This window comes from Homo sapiens, chromosome 1 (assembly GCF_000001405.40).
Source record: "Homo sapiens chromosome 1, GRCh38.p14 Primary Assembly".
NCBI classification, from domain to species: domain Eukaryota; kingdom Metazoa; phylum Chordata; class Mammalia; order Primates; family Hominidae; genus Homo; species Homo sapiens.
The window spans coordinates 45,389,870-45,412,610 of record NC_000001.11 but is presented as its reverse complement, the minus strand read 5'-3'; the positions used below and the strand labels follow the sequence as shown (position 1 = coordinate 45,412,610).

Sequence of the window (22,741 nt, the reverse complement as noted above, 5' to 3'; positions counted from 1 at the left end):
AACTACTCAGTCCCTCCCTGTGCTAGGTAATATCATGATTAATGCAAGAGAAATAGAGGCTTCTTGTCTCCCAGAGAGTCTCCTTAAGAAGTAAATTATACTATGTAGGAAATAGACTAGCATTAGCTAATGCTGTGAGAATATGGCAGGATATTTTCCCAGTCTCAGTTATTAAGACAGCCATCTTTCCAGTTATCCATCCTGAAAAATTCCAGCCATTTTTGGTTATCATGTATTCCTTGCTTCTAATGAGAAGCTAAGCTGTGATTCTAAATATTCAAAGGCTTTTGCATCTATTCCTTCCCGTATATGTGGGCTGTAATTCAGCCTTCTTCACTTTCACCTGGAGTGAATTATTTTCCCTGTCTCTTTGCCCTTTTTCACTCTTCCTGATACTCAGCTCTGGTTGTATAGTTTATTTCTTAAAACTTTTTGTGGCTCACATTGGTTTCAAAATCGAGTCAAAAATTATTTAGACTGACAGTTAAGGTTCAGTCTGTTTTTCCAGCCTTTTCTTCCACTCTTTCTCTTGTACAATTCACACAGCTCCACAATTTCCTAATTATATTCTCTAGGACAAGTTATTTAACCTCTGTGCTTTGATTTCTTCTGTTTAATGAGAATGGACCAGATCAGTTGTTAGAAATCACACTGAGGCAGGGCATGGTGGCTTACACCTATAATCTGAGCACTTGGGAGACTGAGGCGGGAGGATCCATTTGAGCCTAGGAGTAGTGAGCTATGATGGCTTCTTCCTGCCAGCTGCACAGACAAAATCAATTCCCTGAGATCGTGGCATTGCAGTAAGAAAGAGTTTAATTGACTCAAGGCCAGCCATGCCAAAGAGGCAGTTATCACTTAAATCAGTCTTCCTGAAGCCCTCTAGAGGTTAGAGTTTTTATGGACAATTTGGTGGGCAGGGCTGAGGGAATGGGTGCTGCTGATTAATTGGGGGTGTGGAAAAGTCCTTGTGCGCTGAGTGTGCCTCTGTGTAGGGCTACAGCAGGAGTCCTCAACCCCCAGGTTATGGACCGGTATCAGCCTGTGGCCTGTTAGGAACTGGGCCACACAGCAGGAGGTGAACAGGTGAGCAAGCATTGCTGCCTGAGCTCTGCTTCCTGTCAGATCAGCGGTGGCATTATATTTTCATAGAAGCGTGAACCCTGTTGTGAACTGTGCATGCGAGGGATCTTGGTTGCACGTCCCTTATGAGAATCAAATGCCTGATGATCTCAGGTGGAACAGTTTCATCCCAAAACCATCCCTCCACCTGACCCTCACCCGAGTCTGTGGAAAAATTGTCTTCCACAAAACCAGTCCCTGGTGCCAAAAAGGTTGGGGAAGGCTGGGCTACAGGACCAGTTGAGTCATGAGTCATGAGTCTGGGTGGGGTTGGTCTGAAAAAAATCTCTCAGAAAACCAGTCTTAGGTTCTATAATAGTGATGTTATCTATAGGAGCAGTTGGAGAAGTCACAAATCTTGTGATCTCTAGCCACATGACTCCCAAGCAGTAAGAAATTGTAGAACTATACCTACATTTTAGCAGAATTCTCTCCCCTCCCATAATCCTAACCTTGTGGCCTTTCCTTAGTTTTACAAAGGTAGTTTAGTTTTGGGAAGGGCTATTATCATCCTTGCTTTAAGGTTAAACTGTAAACTAAATTCCTCCCAAAGTTAGCTTGGCCTATGCCCAGGAATGACCAAAGACAAACAGCTTGAGGTTGGAGGCAAGATAGAGTTAACGATGTCAGATTTCTCTTTTGCAAAGGTGGTTTCAGTTGTGCCACTGAAACACAGACTGGGTGATATAGTGAGACCATGTATGTTAAAAAAAAAATAAAAAATAAAATAAATAAATATATAAATAAGAAATCACATTGAATTAAATGTTGAACAATTTTTAAATAATCAGGTTTTTAAAATATCTTAAGGGTGAGTGAATGTGGATGTGGAGTGTGTTCCAGAATAAATGGGCAGTGTTTTAAAAAAAAATTTTTTTTTTTTGAGTTGGAGTTTCGCTCTTGTTGCCCAAGCTGGGGTGCAATGGTGCAATCTCAGCTTACTACAACCTCTGCCTCTCAGGTTCAAGTGATTCTCCTGCCTCAGCCTCCCGAGTAGCTGGGATTACAGGCACGCGCCACCATGCCCAGCTAATTTTTTGTATTTTTAGGAGAAACAGGGTTTCACCATGTTAGCCAGGCTGGCCTCGAACTCCTAACCTCAGGTGATCCGTTTGCCTCGGCCTCCCAAAGTACTGGGATTACAGGCGTGAGCCACTGCTCCCAGCCTAAAATGTTTTTTTGCATCTGTTGAAGGTTGAAAAAAAAATAATAAAGTGGATCTCTCTGATTTTATCATTGTAATCCTGGTGGGTAACTAGGTGAAAGACTCTCAAGAGAGTTCACAAAGCATCTTTTGTAACACTAGACTGTAAGGTGATCTTAATTTTTTTTTGAGACAGAGTCTCACTCTGTCACCCAGGCTGGAGTACAGTGGCATGATCTCTGCTCACTGCAACCTCCGCCTCCCAGGTTCTCGTGCTTCAGCCTCCCGAGTAGCTGGGATTACAGGCATGTGTCACCACACCCAGCTAATTTTTGTATTTTTAGTAGAGATAGGATTTCACCATGTTGGCCAGGCTGGTCTCAAACTCCTGGCCTCAAGTGATCTGCCCCCGTTGGCCTCCCAAAGTGCTGGTATTACAGGTGTGAGCCACTGTGTCTTGGCTGAAGATTTTTAATATAAACAATGATTACTAATTATTGAGTACCCATTATGGACCACTATTAATTTCCTGCCGCATTCCCTTTCTTCTTTCCAGACCTCTCCCACCATTCATCCATCACTTGAGCCAAAAACTTACCATTCTTATTATCTTTCTCTTACACCCTATTTCAAACCATCAAGTAGTTCAGCATTATCTTCAAAATATGTCCTGAGTCTTTTTACCTCTACACTTACTACTCTAGCCCAACCATCCTAATTGATCTCTTGTCTTCCCCTTTTACCCCACAATAGCCAGATTGAATTTTAAGAGGGTAAATCAGATTATGTCATTTCCCTGCTGAATTTCCTAATACAGCTTTTTGTCATTCTTCAAAGTTCATACTCTGGGCTTTAACCTATCAGGCCCTAAATGATTTGGCCTACGTGGCTCTGACCATATTTCCAATCATTCTTCCTTTTTCTTACATCATTCTAACCACACTCACTAACCCTCTTGTTTCTCAGACACATTAAGCTTTTTTCCCTGCTTCAGGGCCTTTGTACTTACTTTATTCCAGAATCATATGATATATTTCTGCTGAGATAGCCCCTCTTCAAAGAAATCTTTTTGACTAGTCTAAAATAGACATCGATATTTGTTACAAGTTCTCATTACTTCTGAAAAGAACCTTATTCATTTGTTTACCTATTGCTTAAAGCCTCCAGTATTGAATGAGCTCTCTGAGGGTAGAAGTTTATCTTTTTCACCACTGTATTTGTAGTGCCTATAGTGTAGTATCTCTAGAAGCTGATGCCAATTAGAACCAAGCCAGTTTGCATCACAGAAACTTATAAAAGCTCAGGAACTGAAGGTGGGTGTCAGGCTTGGGCTAAAAATAAGAGGGCTATTCAAAGTCTTTTAAGGGGTAACTGGGCCTGAAAGTCAACATCCCCATTTCTTGTAACTAATCAGTTAAATATCACCCACCCCAATAAGACATGGTTTATTTTTGGAGAAAAATTGAACCAGAAATACTTCATACTAGTGAACATCTGATAGAATGCAATACCTAAAAGAGGAGATGGGGGGATAGTCTGCATACTGGAATGGTGAGGCTCATAAGACTTCTAGTCACCTTCCATCACCTGGCTCTCAGGCAGGCAAGAATCATTCCTATCCTACCCTCAACCCTGCCACTTGCCAGGAAATTGATGGATTTTTTCCTGGAGAAAATGAATAGACCCAAATAAAGGAAGACAGTTTTTTAAAAATGACAACCTTTCTCAGAAGTATTTGGCTTTGGCAATATAATAAAATTAAAACATTTTTTATATGAGCCATAGGCTCATGCTCTTTGAGTTCTCACCATTCAGTATGCAGACTAACCCATTGTGCCGGGCCTGGCTAATACCTGGAGGGGAGAACCAAAGGACATGTGCTTCCAGATTGAAAGGGCCCAGCACAATGAATGAAAAAACAGCCACCCAGAGCATATCATTATGAAATTTTAGAATATGGGTAATAAAAATATTCTAAACATTTCCACAGAGGAAAAAATTTAAAAAAAAATCCCATACAAAAAAGCTAGAGCAATGGAAGATGCTTTCTGAGAGAAAATGATTTCCTACTTAGAATCCTATGTCCAGCTGAACTACCAATCAAGCATGAGAGTAGAGTGAAGATATTTTTAGATAGGCAAATTGTCAAAAAATTTGCCTCTCATGAGCCCCTTCTCATGATGCTATTGGAGGATGTGTCCCTTCAAAACAGGGAAGTAAACAAAACACCCTAATAAAAATAAAAAGGAAGCCTTGAGACCTAGAAAGAAGTGGGTATAAAGGTAATGGGAAGTCCCAGGATGACTGTTGTGCAACAGTCTACAAAATAAGCAGTTCAGGTTGGATTCGAAGGATTACAAGATTCAGGAGAGATGTTGGGAAGTGGGGGTGTGAGGAAAGAACTTATGTATTTCCTGATATGTTTGGCAGGGTGGAAATCCATATTCAGAAGAATTTTACAATTTTGTTGGAGGCTTTGGAAAGAAGTAGCAGTAGGCATGCATATAAGTCCTTTCTCATGCTGCTAATAAAGACACACCCAAGACTGGGTAATTTATAAAGGAAAGAGGTTTAATGGACTCGTAGTTCCACGTGGCTGGGGAGGCCTCACAGTCATGGCAAAAGATGAAGGAAAAGCACAGGGACATCTTACATGGCTGCAGGCAAGAGAACATGTGCAGGGGAACTCCCCTTTATAAAACTATCAGATATCGTGAGACTTACTCACTATCACGAAAACAGCATGGGAGAGACCTGTCCCCATGATTCAATTACCTCCCACCAGGTCCCTCCAAAATGGGAATTATGGGAGCTACAATTCAAGATGAGATTTGGGTGGGACACAACCAAACCATGATAGCATGTAATAACTAAGCAAATGAAAAAAGGGGTAAAATACAAACAATTATAGAAGAAATAAAGTGAAATCATAATATAGTACTTGGCCTCATAGTGATTATAATCAGTCATAATAATGTAAATGCTGGCCAGGCACGGTGGCTCACACCTATAATCCTAGCACTTTGGGAGGCTGAGACCAGCCTGGGCAACATAGTGGGACCCTGTCTCAGCAAAAGATTAAAAAAACAAAAAAAAACCCATTGTGGGGCCACCACCTGTGGTCCTACCTACCCAGGAGGCTGAGGTGGGAGGATCTCTTGAGCCCAAGAGTTCAAGGTTTCAGTGAGCTGTAATCACACCGCTGCACTCTAGCCTGTGTGACAGAGCAAGACCCTGTCTCTAAAAAATAATAATAATTTTAACGATGTAATCCTGAGTCTTGATTTTTTTCCCCTGAATGTCAATTTTACCCCAAATTATCTTATAACAATATTGGAAGGGAAATATTTAAGAATGCTAAATCCTCAGCTGCTACACTGTAAAATCAGTAGATAAGGTCAGAAATGGCAGTGTATGTTAGCTAGATGTATGAAGGTAAATAGAATAAATAGCTAAAAAGAGTTGAAAGTGGTTCCCTCTGAGGAGGTGATTCAATGTGGTGTGGGCAGGGTAGGGGACTGTTATTTTTTATTATATGCCTATTTGAAGCTATGTAAGTGTGTAACTTAAGTTACTTAAGGAGGCTATTGCAATCATCTAGATAGAGCTCATGATGACTGGGACCACATGGTGGTAGTAAAGGTGAAGAGGAGTTGGGTTTTGAATTTTTTTATTTTTATTTTTATTTTTAGACAGAGCCTTGCTCTGTCACCCAGGCTGGAGTGCAGTGGGTGTGATCATGGGTTACTGCAGCCTCGACCTCCTGGGCTCAAACGATCCTCCTGCCTCAGCCTTCACAACAGCTGGTACTACAGGTGTGTACCACCTAAATGTGTCACACCCAGCTAATTGTCTTATTTTTGTAGAGACAAGGTCTCTCTATGTTGCCCAAACTGGTCTCTAACTCCTGGCCTCAAGTGATCATCCCACTTCAGCCTCCCAAAGTGCTGGGATTACAGGCATGAGCCACCACACCCTGGAGACTTTGAGTTCTTACTCATTTGGTAAAGTCTTTATTTTGCCCTAACATTTAGTTGGCAGGCCAACCACATAATTTTAGGTTCAAAATATTTTATTGAGAAATTTTAAAATACTGTTCATAATTATTTATTTTGAGATAAGATCTTGCTCTGTTGTCCATGTTGGAGTGCAGTGGCATGATCACAGCTCATTGCAGCCTCCAACCCCTGGCTCAAGCAATTCTTCTGCCTCAGCCTGCCAAGTAGCTGAGACTACAGGTGAGCACCACCACACTGGGATAATTTTTTTGTTTTAATTTTTTTATAGAGACAGACTGACCCACTATGTTGGCCAGGCTAGTCTTGGACTTCTGGGCTCAAGCAGTCCTCCCACCCTGGCCTCCCAAAATACTGGGATTGCAGGTGTGAGCCACTGCAACCAGCTGGGTTCTGAATATCTTCTTTCTTTTAATTTTTCTTATTTCTCCAAGAAAAAATAGAGATTTTTTTTTGAGACAGGGTCTTGCTCTGTTGCCCAGGCTGGAGTGCAGTGACACCATCATGGCTCACTGCAGCCTTGGCCTCCTGCTGGGCTAAAATCATCCTCCCACCTCAGCCTCCCGAGTAGCAGGGACTACACGTATACACCACCACACCTGGCTAATTTTTGTGTGTGTGTGTATATATATGTAGATATATACACACACTAAGATTTTATATATATATCTATATATAGATATAGATATAGATATATTTTTTAGAGATGGGGTTTCACCACGTTGTGCAGACTGGTTTTGAACTCCTGAGCTCAAGCGATCTGCCCGCCTCGGCCTCCCAAAGTGCTGGGATTACAGGTGTAAGCCATTGCACCTGGCCCTGAATATTTTTTAAAGAGGAAATCGGTGAGGGATATTAGCACAAGGGAAGGAGGCATAAAGGATGCCTCTTAATTAGGTTTTTTGTTTGTCAATTTTTAAACTTTAAATTTATTCATTTTTTATTTCAAACCACCATACACATGTGCAGATTACTTAGGTTTTGACTTGAACAACTGGAAGAATTGAATTGCCAGTAACTGTGCTGGGGAGACATTGTGGGGAACAGTTTTGGAAATGGGAGATCAGGAGATATCAACTTGGCAGTTGGATAAACAAGTTTGGAATTCAAAGGAGAGATTCAGGATGGTTGTGCCTCGTAGTAATTTAGGGGATCTTGAGCAAATTGTGAAATATCTATAACCTCAGTTTTCTTACCTGTGAAGTAGGAAATAATAGTAGTACTGCTGTATCAGCTTGATGGGAAGATTAAATTAGATAATATACATAAAGAATTGATCACAGTACAAAGGCACTAAATCTTACCTGTCACTATTTTTTATTATTGTTATTACTACTGTCACAATAATCTGAAGTATCATATATTGAGGCTGTATAGCTTAAAGTTTAAGAGGTAAAAATCCACTCCCTGACTCCGCCATTTGCTCATTGTGTGCCCTTAGGTGAGCCACTTAATCTTTATTTTTCTTATCTCTAAAATAGAAATAGGCCTGGTGTGGTGGCTCAGGCCTGTAATCCTAGTACTTTGGGAGGCCAAGGTGGGCAGATCACCTAAGTTCAGGTATTCGAGACTAACCTGGCCAACATAGTGAAACCCCGTCTCTAATAAAAATACAAAAATAGCCCGGCGTGGTGGCGCATGCCTGTAATCCCAGCTACTCGGGAGGCTGAGGCAGGAGAATTGCTTGAACCCAGGAGGTGGAGGTTGCAGTGAGCCAAGATCGCGCCACTGCAATCCAGCCTGGGTGATCAAGTGAGACTACATCTCAAAAAAAAAAAAATAATTAAATAAAATAGAAATATACTTATCACATATTTTTACAAGGATTAAATGAGATAAGCTCTGTAAAAGTATTTAGAACAGTGTCTGACACGTCCTTAGGTGCTCAGTAAATGTTATACATCACCATCGTTTGTTCCCTTGAAGAAGGGAACATCACATTTATTTCTGTAGCCCCCACTTAATCCCCTTTGCATGGCACTGTACTTAATATATATGTGACAGGCATTACAAAAATTTCAAGTACTCTAATATTTATCTGTGGAGAGCACAAACCTTGCAAATATTAATTGCTTGATACATACTTAGTAGATTGACATTTTCTTTCCTCCATACATTTCATTCACTTTGGGAGAGGGAGAAGAAATAAATCATTGTGAGAGTATTGTTTCAGAAATGTGCTCACATAGATTGAAGTCTATATTTCTATTTTGTTACTTTGGTGTAAATTTATAAGTAATTTTAGAATAAAGGAGAAATTTGGAAAGGAAGAAGAAACTTTTTCAGGGCTTGGGAAGACAACTTAAATACTTGAGTTTGTGGATATTAGTTCTCTTTTGAACTTCCTGGATTAAGAAAAAGCTTTTTGGCCATATTTAAAGTCACTGTATGTATATGTATTAATAGTTCTGCCTTTGTCAGGAGACTTGTTTTTTTTTTTTTTTTTCGCTTGCATGGCAGTTTTGAGCAATGTGATTTAAAATTTTTGTTAAACTACTTATAAATTCATTCTTTGTTTAATTTCAGTTTGTTATTCAAGATAGAGGGTATATATTTTCCTCCCAGAAATCTTGGCTGTTTTCTATTTATTAAACTGTTCTAATATTTGTAAGCAAGCAGATCTGACTTTAACTTTTTAGATCTTTGTATTGCTTTACCCCAAAAAAGTAAAATTGGACCATGAACTTGATTGGGCCTCTTGTTATTATGTGTAGTGCTATTGACATGATCTGATTGCTAAGCAATGTTTGTTCTGCCTTTGGCTGTCTTAAAATTGGACTGTTAAAAACCAAAGACAAAAAGGAGAAAGCGAGACTGAACCAGCTCTGCTTAGTGTCACCTGATGTGAGACTCTGGTGGTTAATGTCTGTTCAGCTGAGTTTTCCTTATGAATTCTCCTATCTAAGACCTAGCACAACCAGTTTTCCATGATGTAATACCTCTAAAACATGTTTGAACTGCACTTACCCGAGGATATTACTGCCTTTTTACGGGTTTAGATTCATAGTTCTTCTGGGACTTGAGATCTCAGCCATTGCCTTCTCTTCTTCTTTCTTCTTCTTCATCTTTTTCTTTCTTTCTTTTTTTTTTTTTTTCCCATCACGGCTCACTGTAGTCTCAACCTCTCAGGCTCAAGCCTTCCACTTCAGCCTCCTGAGTAGCTAGGACCACAGGCGTGCCCCACACCCAGCTAATTTTTTGATATTTAGTAGAGATGAGGTCTCCCTATGTTGCCCAGGCTGATCTTGAACTCCTGGGCTCAAGCAATCCTCCCACCTCAGCCTCCCAAAGTGCTGGGATTACAGGTGTGAGCTGCTGTACCTGGCCTTTTTGTTGTTGTTATTGGTGATTTTTTTTTTCTAGCCCAAGTCCAAGAAATGATGGTATCTTTGTATTATTTGGGAGTAAAATGCAAAGCAATTTATTTTGTGCTACGTGTTAAAGGTTAGTGGAGTCTGGTAGAGTACGTTACAGGTCCCTTTCTTCCAAAATTATGAGAGGAAATTAGATAAAAATTCTGGAAAAACATACTTTTTAAAAAAGAATAGGCTGGATGCATTGGCTCATGCCTGTAATCCCAGCACTTTGGGAGGCCGAGGTGGGCGGATCACCTGAAGTCGGGAGTTTGAGACTAGCCTGACCAACATGGAGAAACCCCATCTCTACTAAAAATACAAAATTAGCTTGGTGTGGTGCTGCATGCCTGTAATCCCAGCTACTTGGGAGGCTGAGGCAGGAGAATCGCTTGAACCCAGGAAGCAGAGGTTGTGGTCAGCCAAGATCGCACCATTGCACTCCAGCCTGGGCAACAAGAGCTAAACTCAGTCTCAAAAAAAAAAAAAGAAAAAATAGTACACCAATTTATTTAGGTTTCATCAATCTTTGCATGCATCTGTTTCTTTTTCTTTTTTCTTTTTCTTTTTTTTTTTTTTTTAAAGACAAGATCTTGCTGTTTTGCCCAGGCAGAGAAGTGCAGTGGTATGGTCATAGCTCACTATAGCCTTGACCTTCTGACCTCAAGTGATCCTCCTGGCTGTCTTCTGAGTAGCTGGGACTACAAGCACACACCACCATGCCTGGCTAATTTAATTTTTTTATTTTTTTAGAGACAGGGTCTCACTATGTTGCCCAGACTGGTCCTGAACTCCTGGCCTCAAGTGGTCCTCCCACCTTGATCTCCCAAAGTGCTGGGATTACAGGTGTGAGTCACTGTGCCTGGCCTCTTTTCTTTTCTTTTCTTTTTTTTTAATGGTTATTAGCAGGGTTTCAGTGTTTTAGATGTAGGCCTTTTAGAAAACATAAGTATCAAAATTATGTCCACGTTTTAACATTGTATTATAGGTTTATTTAGGCCTCTTAATTGTTGTTACCATAACCTTTAGAATCACATTTTTCTGGAAAGACCAGTATGGGTCAGAAGAACCCCTATGATATGTATGCTGCTTACTGCTCAACGTTGGCAGCAGAAAAGCTTGTAAAGCAAACCAGGTAGATTTTCATTGGTTCGTAGAAGGGCAGTTCTTTTTTATGAATCAAAAACCAAAAGTGGTTTTATTGAACCACTGGCCTTTTTTTCTTTCTTTCTCATTATCACAAGGCAAAACACAGACTTTGGAGCCAAACATCCAGATTCCAGTACCCTCTTTAACCTTTGTCAAGTCATTTAAATACTCCAAACCTCATTTTCCTAGATGATAAAGTGGGGGTAATTTCATCTCAGGTAATATATTTATAAAGCAATTAGCACAGTTTCCAGGTATATTGTAGGTAAGCAGTAAGTAATTTTCTTGACAGCTTTGATACAGTGGCCCCAGAACTCTTCCTACCAGGTGCTGTTATTCAGCCTTCAGGAGGTCCATGAACAGTAGTAATAGCAGTGTCAGTGTTTTTTTAATTTTTATTATTTATTTATTTATTATTATTATTTCTTTGAGATGGAGTTTTGCTCTTGTTGCCCAGGCTGGAGTGCAATGGTGAGATCTCGGCTCACTGCAATCTCCGCCTCCCAAGTTCAAGCAATTCTCCTGCCTCAGCCTACTGAGTAGCTGGGATTACAGGCAGCTGCAACCACGCCCAGCTAATTTTTATATTTTTAGTAGAGACAGGGTTTCACCACGTTGGTCAGGCTGGTCTCAAACTTCTGACCTCAGGTGATCCACCTGCCTTGGCCTCCCAAAGTGCTGGGATTACAGATGTGAGCCACCACACTTGGCCAGTAGTGTCAGTGTTTTTTAAATCAGAGTAAGGATATGTTTTAGACTATGTCACACCTCTTTCTTCACTTCTTTTTTTTTTTTTTTTTTAAGACAGAGTCTCGCTCTGTTGTCCAGGCTGGATGGAGTACAGTGGCATGATACCGGCTCACTGCAACCTCCGCCTCCTGGTTTCAAGCAATTCTTGTGCCTCAGCCTCCTGAGTAGCTGGGATTACAGGTGTGTGCCACCACATCCGGTTAATTTTTATATTTTTAGTAGAGATGGGGTTTCATCATGTTGGCCAGGCTGGTCTTGAACTCCTGGCCTCAGGTGATTCACCTGCCTTGGCCTCCCAAAGTGCTGGGATTATAGGTGTGAGCCACCATGCCTGGCTCTTCGTTCACTTCTTTGTTTAGGTAATAAAGTTTGAGGGAGGACATTTATGCTTTAATGTTTAACTCTGAGCTTTATACAGAACCGTGAATTTGATAAATATTTGACTGACTGAATGCGAATGCCACCAAGGAACATGTTAATGTTATTTTCCTTATGCTAGTTTACAAAGAGTTAAAGTCTAAAATTTGTTTTAGATCTGTTAATGTTATATCACAGGGGAGTGACCCATACAATTTTTTGTGTTATGTACCTATTATTAGTTTTCTGTGGCTATCATAACGAATTACCACAAACTTAGTAGCTTAAAACAACACACGTTTATTTTATCTTACTGTTCTATAAGTCAGAGGTCTGACAAGAGTCTCACTGGGCTAAAATCAAGGTATCAGCAGGGCTGCATTCCTCTCTGGAGGCTCTAGAGGAGAATCCATTTCCTTACTTTTTTCAGCTGCCAGTGGCTGTTTGCATTCCTCGGCTCATAGACCCCTTCCGTCTTCAAACCCAGCAATGAGTCTTTCTCACATTGCATCACTCTGATATTGACTCTTCTGCCTCCCTCTTCCACCTATGAGGACCTTGTGATTACTTTGGACCCACAGTGATAATCCAGGATAATCTCTCTTTTAAAGTCTTCTGACCAGCAACTTTAATTGCATCTACAATTTTGATTTATTTCCCTTGCCATATAATGCGACACAGTCACAGGTTCTGGGGATTAGGACATAGACATCTCTGGGGGGCCATTAGTCTGCCTACCTCAGTATCCCATTAGGAAAGCATTTTTGAGCACATCCCCATGTGCTACTATTAACCCATAATTAAATATTAGTAAAATGAAATTTCTCTTTTTATCAAAAATAAGTAAAAGTTTTCATTTTCTTCCCATACTCCAACGGATAATGCGGCTCATTACCCATTTTGGAGACTGCTGGCTAATAGTAGGTCCTAGGAAAAGACCTGCCTTGGAATAAGAATTTCAACTTTTGGCAGGGTGCAGTGTCTTCGTGCCTGTGAAATCCCAGCAATTTGGGAGGCCGAGGCAGGCAGATTGCTTGAGCACAGGAGTTCAAGACCAGCCTGGGTAACATGACAAAACCCCATCTCTACAAAAATACAAAAATTAGGCCTGGTGCAGTGGCTCACGCCTGTAATCCCAGCACTTTGGGAGGCCAAGGCGGGCGGATTACCTGAGGTCGGGAGTTTGAGACCACCCTGACCAACATGGAGAAACCCCATCTCTACTAAAAATACAAAAATTAGCTGGGTGTGGTGGCGCATGCCTATAATCCCAGCTACTCGGGATGCTGAGGCAGGAGAATTGCTTGAACCTGGGAGGTGGAGGTTGCAGTGAGCTGAGATCATGCCACTTCACTCTAGCCTGGGTAACAAGAGCAAAACTCCATCTCAAAAAAAATACAAAAATTAGCTGGGTGTGGTGGTGCGTACCTGTAGTCCCAGCTACTTGGGAGGCTGAGGTGGGAGGATCGCTTGAGCCCAGGAAGTGGAGGCTACAGTGAGCCAAGATCGTGCCACTGCACTCCAGCCTGGGCAAAAGATGGAGACCTTGTCTCAAAAAAAAAAAAAAAAAAAAAAAAAATTTCAACTTTTATTTAAGTTCAATGAATACTGAGAACTAACTGTGAACAAGGCAATGTTTTAAGTGTATGGAGAGGCACAAAACTACATGGTATATGTTGTCCAGGTGGACTAACTAGTGGCTTAAAGGCTTGTTTTTTTTTTTTTTTTTTTTTTTTCAGGTCCTAGTCCAATGGAGGTTGGGTAGAGGTGGAAGGAGAGCTCATTTTCACCTAGAAGAGGGCCTCAGGTTCCTCCACTGGATCTTCTGCATCTGCTGGCAGATGAAGGAAGAAGCTGTGGAAAATAGTGTTGAGGTTTTATGGAACAGGCCTAGAAATGACATAATCACTTCTGCCCATATACCACTGGCCAGAACTTAGTGTTACAGTCTTAACCAACTATAATAAACACTGGGAAATGTAATCTACTTCAGGAGGAAAGGGGAAGCAATTTGTTGAACAAGTAGCTATTCTCTTCCACACACAGGATCCCTGCCCTCAAAAACCTTTTAATATCATGGAAGAGGTAGACATTAGGTAAAACTTGATGTAGAAGGCAGGGCCTAATAAATGCTCCAGTAGAGGTTTATTTTTATTTTTATTATTATTTTTTTGAAACGGAGGCTTGCTCTGTCACCCAGGCTGGAGTGCAGTGGCTCAATCTCGGCTCACTGCAGCCTCTGCCTCCTGGGTTCAAGCAATTTTCTTCTGCCTCAGCCTCCTGAGTAACTGGGACTACAGGTGCACGCCACCACACCCAGCTAATTTTTTTTGTATTTTTGGTAGAGATTGGGTTTCTCCATGTTGGCCAGGCTGGTCTTGAACCCTTGACCTCAAGTGATTCTCCCGCCTCGAGAAAGATTAATTATGATTGGAAATATTTGAAATTACATCTCTGAGCTAGAGATTCTTATAACCAACTTCAAAGAGCTATTTTAAGAATTCAGTGACAGGCCAGGCACAGTGGCTCCCACCTGTAATCCCAGCCCTTTGGGAGGCTGAAACAGAAGAATTGCTTGAGGCCAGGAGTTCGAGAGTAGCCTGGACAACATAAGGAAACCCCATCTCTACAAAAAAATTAAAAAATTAGCCAGGTGAGATGGTGCATGCTTGTAGTCTCAGCTATTTTGGAGGCCGAGGTGGGAGGATCGTGTGAGCCCATGAGTTCAAGGCTGCAGTTAGCTATGATCACGCCACTGCACTCCAGCCTGAGTGATAGAGTGAGATCCTGTCTCTAAAAAACACAAAAAGAGTTAGGTGATTTAATATGTGGACATGTCTGGCACACTAAATGCTATATAAATGTTTGGTGCTATTATTGTTGTTGTTATTTGGAGGTGTTCTTGAGCCAAGTTTTTAAGGATTCATAGAGCTTTGAAAAATGGATTCCAGACAGAGAGACTCATTCTCACAACAATATGGAAGTAGGAGGATTCAGGACATATTTAGAAGTGGCAGGTTGTATAACTGCAACATAGAGAATGCAGGTGGTGCCTGTGGCCTCAGAGCCTGCAGGCGGTGCTGGCTCTGGGTCCGGGTTGGAAAAATAAGAATTTTATAAAATGCAAAAGAAAAAGAAAAGAGAGAGAATGCAGGTGGATGTAATAGGAGATAAAGCAAGAGAGGTTTGGATCAGATCATTCAGACCTTTGAATAACATGGTAAGGAATTTGGACTTTAATCGGGATCTGTAAGCTGCCACAAAAGCTTTTTGAGTAGCAGTTTCTCAAGGGAAGTGATTGTGTCTTGCTCATCTTTATATACTTTGTATAACTATACAGAGAGGTAATATAGCATTGTGATTAAGAACACAGACTCTATAATCAACTGTTTAGGTTTGACTCCCGGCTCTGCCTTTTATTAGCTGTATGATTTGGGGCAAGTTACTTAATCTCTGTGCCTCAGTTTCTTTATTGGTATGATTGGGATAATAAAAGTACTACTTCATTGGGTTATTATGAGGATTAAATGATTTCATATAAGGTAAAGTGCTTAGAACAATGCCTGCATAGTAAGTGCTCATTAAGAGTTAGCTGATACCAGGCTGGGTGTGGTGGCTCACACCTGTAATCCCAGCACTTCAGGAGGCCGAGGATGGCGGATCACTTGAGGTCAGGAGTTTGAGACCCGCCTGGCCAACATGGTAAAATGCTGTCTCTAATAAAAATACCAAAATTAGTCAGGCATGGTGGTGCACGCTTGTAATCCCAGCTGCTTGGGAGGCTGAGGCAGGAGAATCCCCTGAACCTGGGAGGTGGAGGTTGCAGTGAGCCAAGATTGTGCCACTGCACTCCAGCCTGGGCAACAGAGCAACGAAGTGAGACTCCATCTCAAAAAAAAAAAAAAAAAAAAAAACAACTTAGCTGATACCAGGCCGGGCGTGGTGGCTCATGCCTGTAATCCCAGCACTTTGGGAGGCCGAGGCAGGTGGATCACCTGAGGTCAGGAGTTCGAGACCAGCCTGGCCAACGTGGCAAAACCCTGTCTCTACTAAAAATATAAAAATTAGCCAGGCATGGTGGCAGGCGCCTGTAATCCCAGCTACTCGGGAGGCTGAGGCAGGAGAATTGCTTGAACCTGGGAGGCAGAGGTTGCAGTAAGCTGAGATTGCACTACTGCACTCCAGCGTGGGCAACAGAGTGAGACTCTGTTTCAAAAAAAAAAAAGAGTTATCTCATACCATCATCATTATCATCGTTGCCAGTGCCTGGCACATAATAGGTACTCAAAAAATTTTGAGTTGTGTTTTAAATTTACCCAGTGAAGGCTGGGCGCAGTAGCTCACACCTGTAATCCCAGTACTTTGGGAGGCTGAGGCGGGTGGATCACTTGAGGTCAGGAGTTCAAGACCAGCCTGGCCAACATGGTGAAACCCTGTCTCTACTAAAAATACAAAAAAATTAGCCAGGTATGGGGGCACATGCCTGTAATCTTAGCTACTTGGGAGGCTGAGGTGGGAGAATCACTTGAACATGGAGGCCAGATAGCGCTGCTGCATTCTAGCCTGGGTGACAGAGCAAGACCCAGTCTCAAAATAAAAATAAATAAAAATAAATAAAAATAAATTTACCCAGTGAAGAATCACTTGAGCCCAGGAGTTTGAGGCTGCAGTGAGCTATGATGGTGCCACTGCTCTCCAGCGTAGTTGACAGAGCTAGATCTTGCCTCAAAAACAAAACAAAACAAAACAAACCATAATTTACCCAGCAAGTGTTTTTTATTTTTAACCTCCTTCAGAGAAAGACTAACAAGCGTTTATATATTGTCATATGCCAGGCAAGAGAATGGTATCTTGCTGTTAAGAAGCTTGTGGTCTAGTAAAAAAGTTATAAGGCATGTGATAAAACATAGTTAAAGCTTGGAAATGATGCTATAGGAAGGTGATATAGGCTGGGCATGGTGGCTCACACCTGTAATCCTAGCATATTTGGGAGGGTGAGGCAGAAAGATTGTTTGAGCCCAGGAGTTCAAGGTTGCAGTGAGCTGTAATTGCAACACTGCACTCCAGCCTGGGTGACAGAGTGGGACCTTGTCTCAAAAAAAAAAAAAAAGAAAAGAAAAGAAAAGAAAGGAGTGTAAATGGCTGCCTTGGTAGTTGAAGAACATGAGAAGGAAGTATTTGAACTGGTATTTGAGGATGAGTAGAATCTAACTACAGTAATGCAGTGCATAAGATGTTTTGGTCAACAACAGACCGCATACATGATGGTGGTTCCATGAGATTATAATACCATATTTTTACTGTACCTTTTCTATGTTTAGATATGTTAAGATACACAAAACTTACCATTTTGTTGCAGTTGTCTACAGTATTCAGTACAGTAATATGCTGTACAGGCTTGTAGCCTAGGATCAATAGACTCTACCGTATAGCCTGAGGGTATTGTAGGCTATACCATCCAGGTTTATGTAAGTACACTCTATGATTATGCAACCACAAAATCACCTAAGAATGCATTTCTCAGAATGTATCCCCATCGTTAAGTAAGGTATGTGGAAATGAAGAGAGGGGCATTTTAGGTAGTGGGAACAGTCTGAGAAAAGGCAAAGATGTGGAAAAGCTTAATAATGACACTTTATGGGGAATGGTAAATCATGCTATAGAAAAGACTCTAGTCTCTAGACAAAGTCTAGTTTACCAGTAGTATCAGAGTTAAGAGTTTCCTGTTGGGGCCGGGTGCAGTGGCTAATGCCTGTAATCCCAGCCTTTTGGGAGGCTGAGACGGGCGGATCACTTGAGGTCAGGAGTTCGAGACCAGCCTAGCCAACATGGTGAAACACCCCGTCTCTACTAAAAATACAAAAATTAGCCAGGTGTGGTGGCCGCCTCTAATCCCAGCTACTCGGGAGGCTGAGGCAGGAGAATCGCTTGAACTCAGGAGGCAGAGGTGCAGTGAACCAAGACTGAGCCATTGTACTGCAGCCTGGGCAACAGAGTGCGGCTCTGTCTTTAAAAAAAAAAAAAAAAAAAAAAAAAAAAAGAGTTTCCTGTTGGTCTTACTATCTTTAGAGCAGTGATAAACAGTCATTTGTTTAAAGGCTTTGCTACTCACTGCATGTAGTCTGTAGACCAAGCGACATCAGCATCACCTGGGAGTTTAGAAATTCAGATTCTTAGGCCCCATCCCTGACCTACAGAGTGCGAGTCTGCATTTTGACAAGATCCTTCATGGGTTTGTTTCCACAGTGGTCTAAAGTACAAAAGCAATCCTTGGCCTAGTGTGGTGGCTTACTTTGGGAAGCCAAGGCAGGAAGATCACTTGAGGCCAGGAACTTGAGACCAGCCTAGGCAACACAGTGAGACCCTGTCTCTACCAAAAAAAAAAAAAAAAAAAAAGCCAGCTGTGGTGTGTGCCTGTAGTCCCAGCTGCTCAGGAGGCTGAGACAGTGAGACAGGAGAGTCACTTGAGACTGGGAGGTTGAGGCTGCAGCGAGCTTATGATCACACTATTGCACTGTGCCACCGCACTCCAGACTGGGCGACAGAGCAAGACCTTGTCTCAAAAAAAAAAGCAACCCTCCTTCTCAACATGAATCTGTATGTCATATGAAACTAAAAATAACAAAGTTGAGTAATCACTTACTCTCAAAGCACATGCATTAAGAAAGCACCCCCTTCCTGAGTTAAGTAATTCTAGCTGGTATGATTTGGGGTGGGGTATGGGGATAGGGGAATAAAAATCATTCAGAATATAAATTTTTAAGGTCTTGTGACATGACAATGATTTGAGGCTTCATTTCGATTTTTGATATAGTTAGCAATAAAAACTTTAGTGAAAACTTATTGTTGATGTTACGTGCTTTTCTAGGCACATGTCACTTCCCTGTCAAGGATGAGTAATATTTCCTCTTTATAGTATATTGTTTTTTTACAACATTTAGAGTGATTAACTCTGTTCAAGCTCTTTTTTTTTTTTTTTTTGAGACGGAGTCTCACTGTCACCCAGGCTGAAGTGCAGTGGCACAATCTTAGCTCACTGCAACCTCCATCTCCCAGGTTCAAGCTATTCTCCTGCCTCAGCCTCCCGAGTAGCTGGGACTACAGACGCCCACCACCACGCCTGGCTAATTTTTGTATTTTTAGTAGAGATGGGGTTTCACCATGTTGGCCAGGATGGTCTTGATCTCTTGACCTCGTGATCCTCCCACCTTGGCCTCCCAAAGTGCTGGGATTACAGACATGAGCCACTATGCCCGGCCGCTCTTTTTCCAATATAAAGCTAATGCATGTCTCAGCTTGCCAGCTCTGTGACACCACTTTGGATGTGGTGGTGGTTTTCCATTAGGAATGATTTGGGAGAGGTTAGGCAGTAAAGTTGCACGTAGAAGTAGAGTTGTGTGACACGATTGTGATATGGTTATTTGAGTAGAGGGTGGGAAGAAAGCAGACAGAAAACTCTCCTATGAAGCCAGTGCCTGCCTGGATGTGCTATGACATCTCTGTAGATGGTGTGGTCAAAATAATAGTGGGCCTGGGAGGAAGAAAAGCAAGGGTGTGTCACATCCAAACCAGGTCTTTTCAGCTTCTAGAAAAACCCATGATTTTAAAATGTAGCCATTGTTTTTCTAGTAGAATCCTATTGCCTGACTTCTTTATAAATATTTGATTAAAGAAAATCAAATACCTCTTGGCTTTACTGCCTTGTACTTGCCTCTAATGTTCTTTAATGTAACACGAGTTTACATTGTGAAGTTAATTTGGTAATTATTGCTTCTTCATTCAATAAATGTGTGTTTAGCAACTTGTGTACGAAACATTTTGTGTGAGACATTGTATATAGAAACAAATGAGACAAGATCTGTACTCTTAAAAGCCTTGGCCCGGCATAGTGGCTCATGCCTGTAATCCTAGCACTTTGGGAGGCCGAGGTGGGAGGATCACTTGAGCCCAGGAATTTGAGACCAGCCTGGGCAACAAAGCAATACTATCTCTAAAAAATAAATTTTTTTTTTTTTTTTGAGACAGAGTTTCACTCTTGTTGCCCAGGCCGGAGTGCAATGGTGCGCTCTCGGCTCACCACAACCTCCACCTCCTGGGTTCAAGCAATTCTCCTGCCTCAGCCTCCCGAGTATCTGGGATTACAGGCATGTGCCACCACACCTGGCTAATTTTGTATTTTTAGTAGAGACAGGGTTTTCCATGTTGGTCAGGCTGGTCTCAAACTCCCGACCTGAGGTGATCCGCCAGCTTCTGCCTCGCAAAGTGCTGGGATTACAGGCGTGAGCCACCGCGCCGGGCTAAAAAATATTCAAATAGGCCAAGCACGGTGGCTTATGCCTGTAATCCCAGCACTTTGGGAGGCTAAGGCAGGCAGATCACCTGAGGTGGGTGGATCACCTAAGGTGAGGAAGTTTAAGACCAGCCTGGCCAACATGGTGAAGCCCTGTCTGTACTAAAAATACAAAAATTACCTGGGCATGGTGGCAGGTGCCTGTAATCTCAGCTACTCAGGAGGCTGAGGCAGGAGAATTGCTTGAACCCGGGAGGCGGAGGTTGCAGTGAGGCAAGATTGCACCACTGCACTTCAGCCTGGGTGACAGAGCGAGACAGTCTCAATCAGTCAATCAATCAATCAATCAATACCTTATATTCCAGTCTGGGGAAGGAGTCAGAAATGTTAGATTAGCAAGAATAGCTAACATTTTCTAGTGTTTATTATGTTCCAGAAGCCCAAGTTATCTTATTTCATCTTCACAATAACCATATGGGTTAGGTAATATTAATATTTACATTTTGCATGTGAAGAAACTGAATTGCAGAGAGGTCATCAGTAAATGGTAGAGCCAGGATTCAAATCAAAGCAGTCTAACTCTAGATCCAGACCACTTAACTTAATGCTAATTAGCAGTCATTCAAAGTAGGGTGAAAAGTGCTAGTTATACTGTGGGAGGTAGGGAGAGACAAAAGAGAGAGAGAAGAGATTAATGCTAAGGGCGTCCAGGAGATCCTTTGTATAGAAGATGAAATTTTAGCTGATCTTGGATGATTTTCAGTAAATATAGTATTCCAATTCAAGGAAGGAACTTCAACCAAGTTTCCAAGTCATAAAAATCATTCATGCCATTTAATAAATCTTTACTGATAACTAGCTTACTGTGTTCCAGACACTATACTAGGTAGTAGAAATGCAGAGATAAATGAAGCTCTGAATCTTCCATAGTGAGAAAAGTTTCAAGAGTGATATGGGGCCAATGCAGGAGGATTGCTTGACACAAACAGTTCAAGACCAACCTGGACAACAGCAAGACCCCAGCTCTATTTAAAAAATTAAAAAATTTGCTCGCTGTGGTGATGTGTGCCTGTAGTCCCAGCTACTCAGGAGGCTGAGGTGGGAGGATCACGTGAGCCAATGAGGTTGAGGTTGCAGTGAGCTATAATCACACTGTTGTACTCCAGCCTGGACAACAAAGCAAGACCCTGTCTCAAAAAAAAAAAAAAAAAAAGGGCTGGGCGCAGTGGCTCACACCTGTAATCCCAGCACTTTGGGAGGCTGAGGGGGGCGGATCACGAGGTCAGGAGATCAAGACCATCCTGGCTAACACAGTGAAACCCCATCTCTACTAAAAATACAAAAATTAGCTGGGTGTGGTGGCATGCGCCTATAGTTCCAGCTACTCGGGAGGCTGGGGCAGGAGAATGGCATGAACCCGGGAGGCAGAGCTTACAGTGAGCCGAGATCGCGCCACTGCACTCCAGCCTGGGCGCAGAGTGAGACTCCATCTCAAAAAAAAAAAAAAAGAAATGTAGCTAGAGGCTGGGTGCAATGGCTCACGCCTGTAAGCTCAGCACTTTAGGAAGCTGAGGTGGGAGGATTTCTTGAGGCCAGGAGTTCCAGACCAGCCTAGGCAACATAATGAGACCCTATCGCTATGATAATAATAATAATAACAATAACAATAATAATAATAATACCAAAATTAGCCAGGCGTGGTGGTGCACACCTATAGTCCTAGCTGCTCATGAGGCTGAGGTGGGAGGATTGCTTGAGCCCAGAAGTTCAAGGTTGCAATGAGCAGTGATCACACCACTGCACTCCAGCCTGGGCAACAAAGTAAGACTCTTTTTAAAGAAAAAAAAAAAACCTTAGAAACATAGATAGAGAATGTAACCTATTCTTAAAGTTTGGTAACAAATAAAAAGTGAATTAGATTCATATTTTAGTGAGGGGGCAAGGGAAGATTTCTATTTTTATTTTTTAGACAGAGTCTCGCTCTGTTGCCCAGGCTGGAGTGCAGTGGCGTGATCTTGGCTCACTGCAACTTCTGCCTCCCTGGCTAAAGTGATCCTCCTGCCTCAGCCTACTGAGTAGCTGGGACCACAGGCATGCCACCATGCCTGGCTAATTTTTGTATTTTTTTGTATAAAAAATACAATTATTATTTTGTATTTTTTGTAAAGATCATATTTCACCGTATTCTCCAGGCTGGTCTTGATCTCCTGGGCTCAAGAGATCTGCCCGCCTTGGCCTCCCCAAGTGCCAGGATTCCAGGTGTGAGCCACTGTGCCTGGCGGAAGAATTTTTTAAGATGAGGGAAATTTAACTATATATTTGTAGGCTAGGGTCATAGAGCCCAGAGGAAAAGGACAGGTGGATGAAGAATAAGGCTCATGGGAAAATGTGAGGTTTCAAAGATAAGTTGGAGTGGATCATGGGAAGTTTTAATGTTATTCTGTAGGCAGAAGGGAACCATTGAAGGGTTATGAAAAAGAGAATGACATATTTTGTGTTTTGAAAAGGTAACTCTCATAGCCATGTAAAGGATAATGTAATTTAGGATTGTTAATAATGA

At 41.9% G+C, this 22,741-nt stretch overlaps 1 protein-coding gene across 2 annotated transcripts in view, besides 2 other annotated features; it reads left to right on the top strand.

The window, feature by feature from the left end:
- TESK2 (testis associated actin remodelling kinase 2) overlaps positions 1 to 22,741 on the top strand; it is a 147,281-nt gene that overhangs the window by 78,553 nt on the left and 45,987 nt on the right. The gene's annotated exons all lie outside the window — the stretch shown is intronic.
- Positions 18,550 to 18,619: an enhancer, noted in NCBI's record as "active region_969". NCBI's record gives its function as "activates an Ori minimal core promoter by ATAC-STARR-seq in GM12878 lymphoblastoid cells {active_cell/tissue: GM12878}" and the evidence as "EXISTENCE:reporter gene assay evidence [ECO:0000049][PMID:35858748]".
- Positions 21,547 to 22,047: an enhancer, noted in NCBI's record as "H3K27ac hESC enhancer chr1:45856236-45856736 (GRCh37/hg19 assembly coordinates)". NCBI's record gives its function as "activates a minimal SCP1, AML or CMV promoter by ChIP-STARR-seq in primed H9 embryonic stem cells {active_cell/tissue: H9 hESC(primed)}" and the evidence as "EXISTENCE:reporter gene assay evidence [ECO:0000049][PMID:30033119]".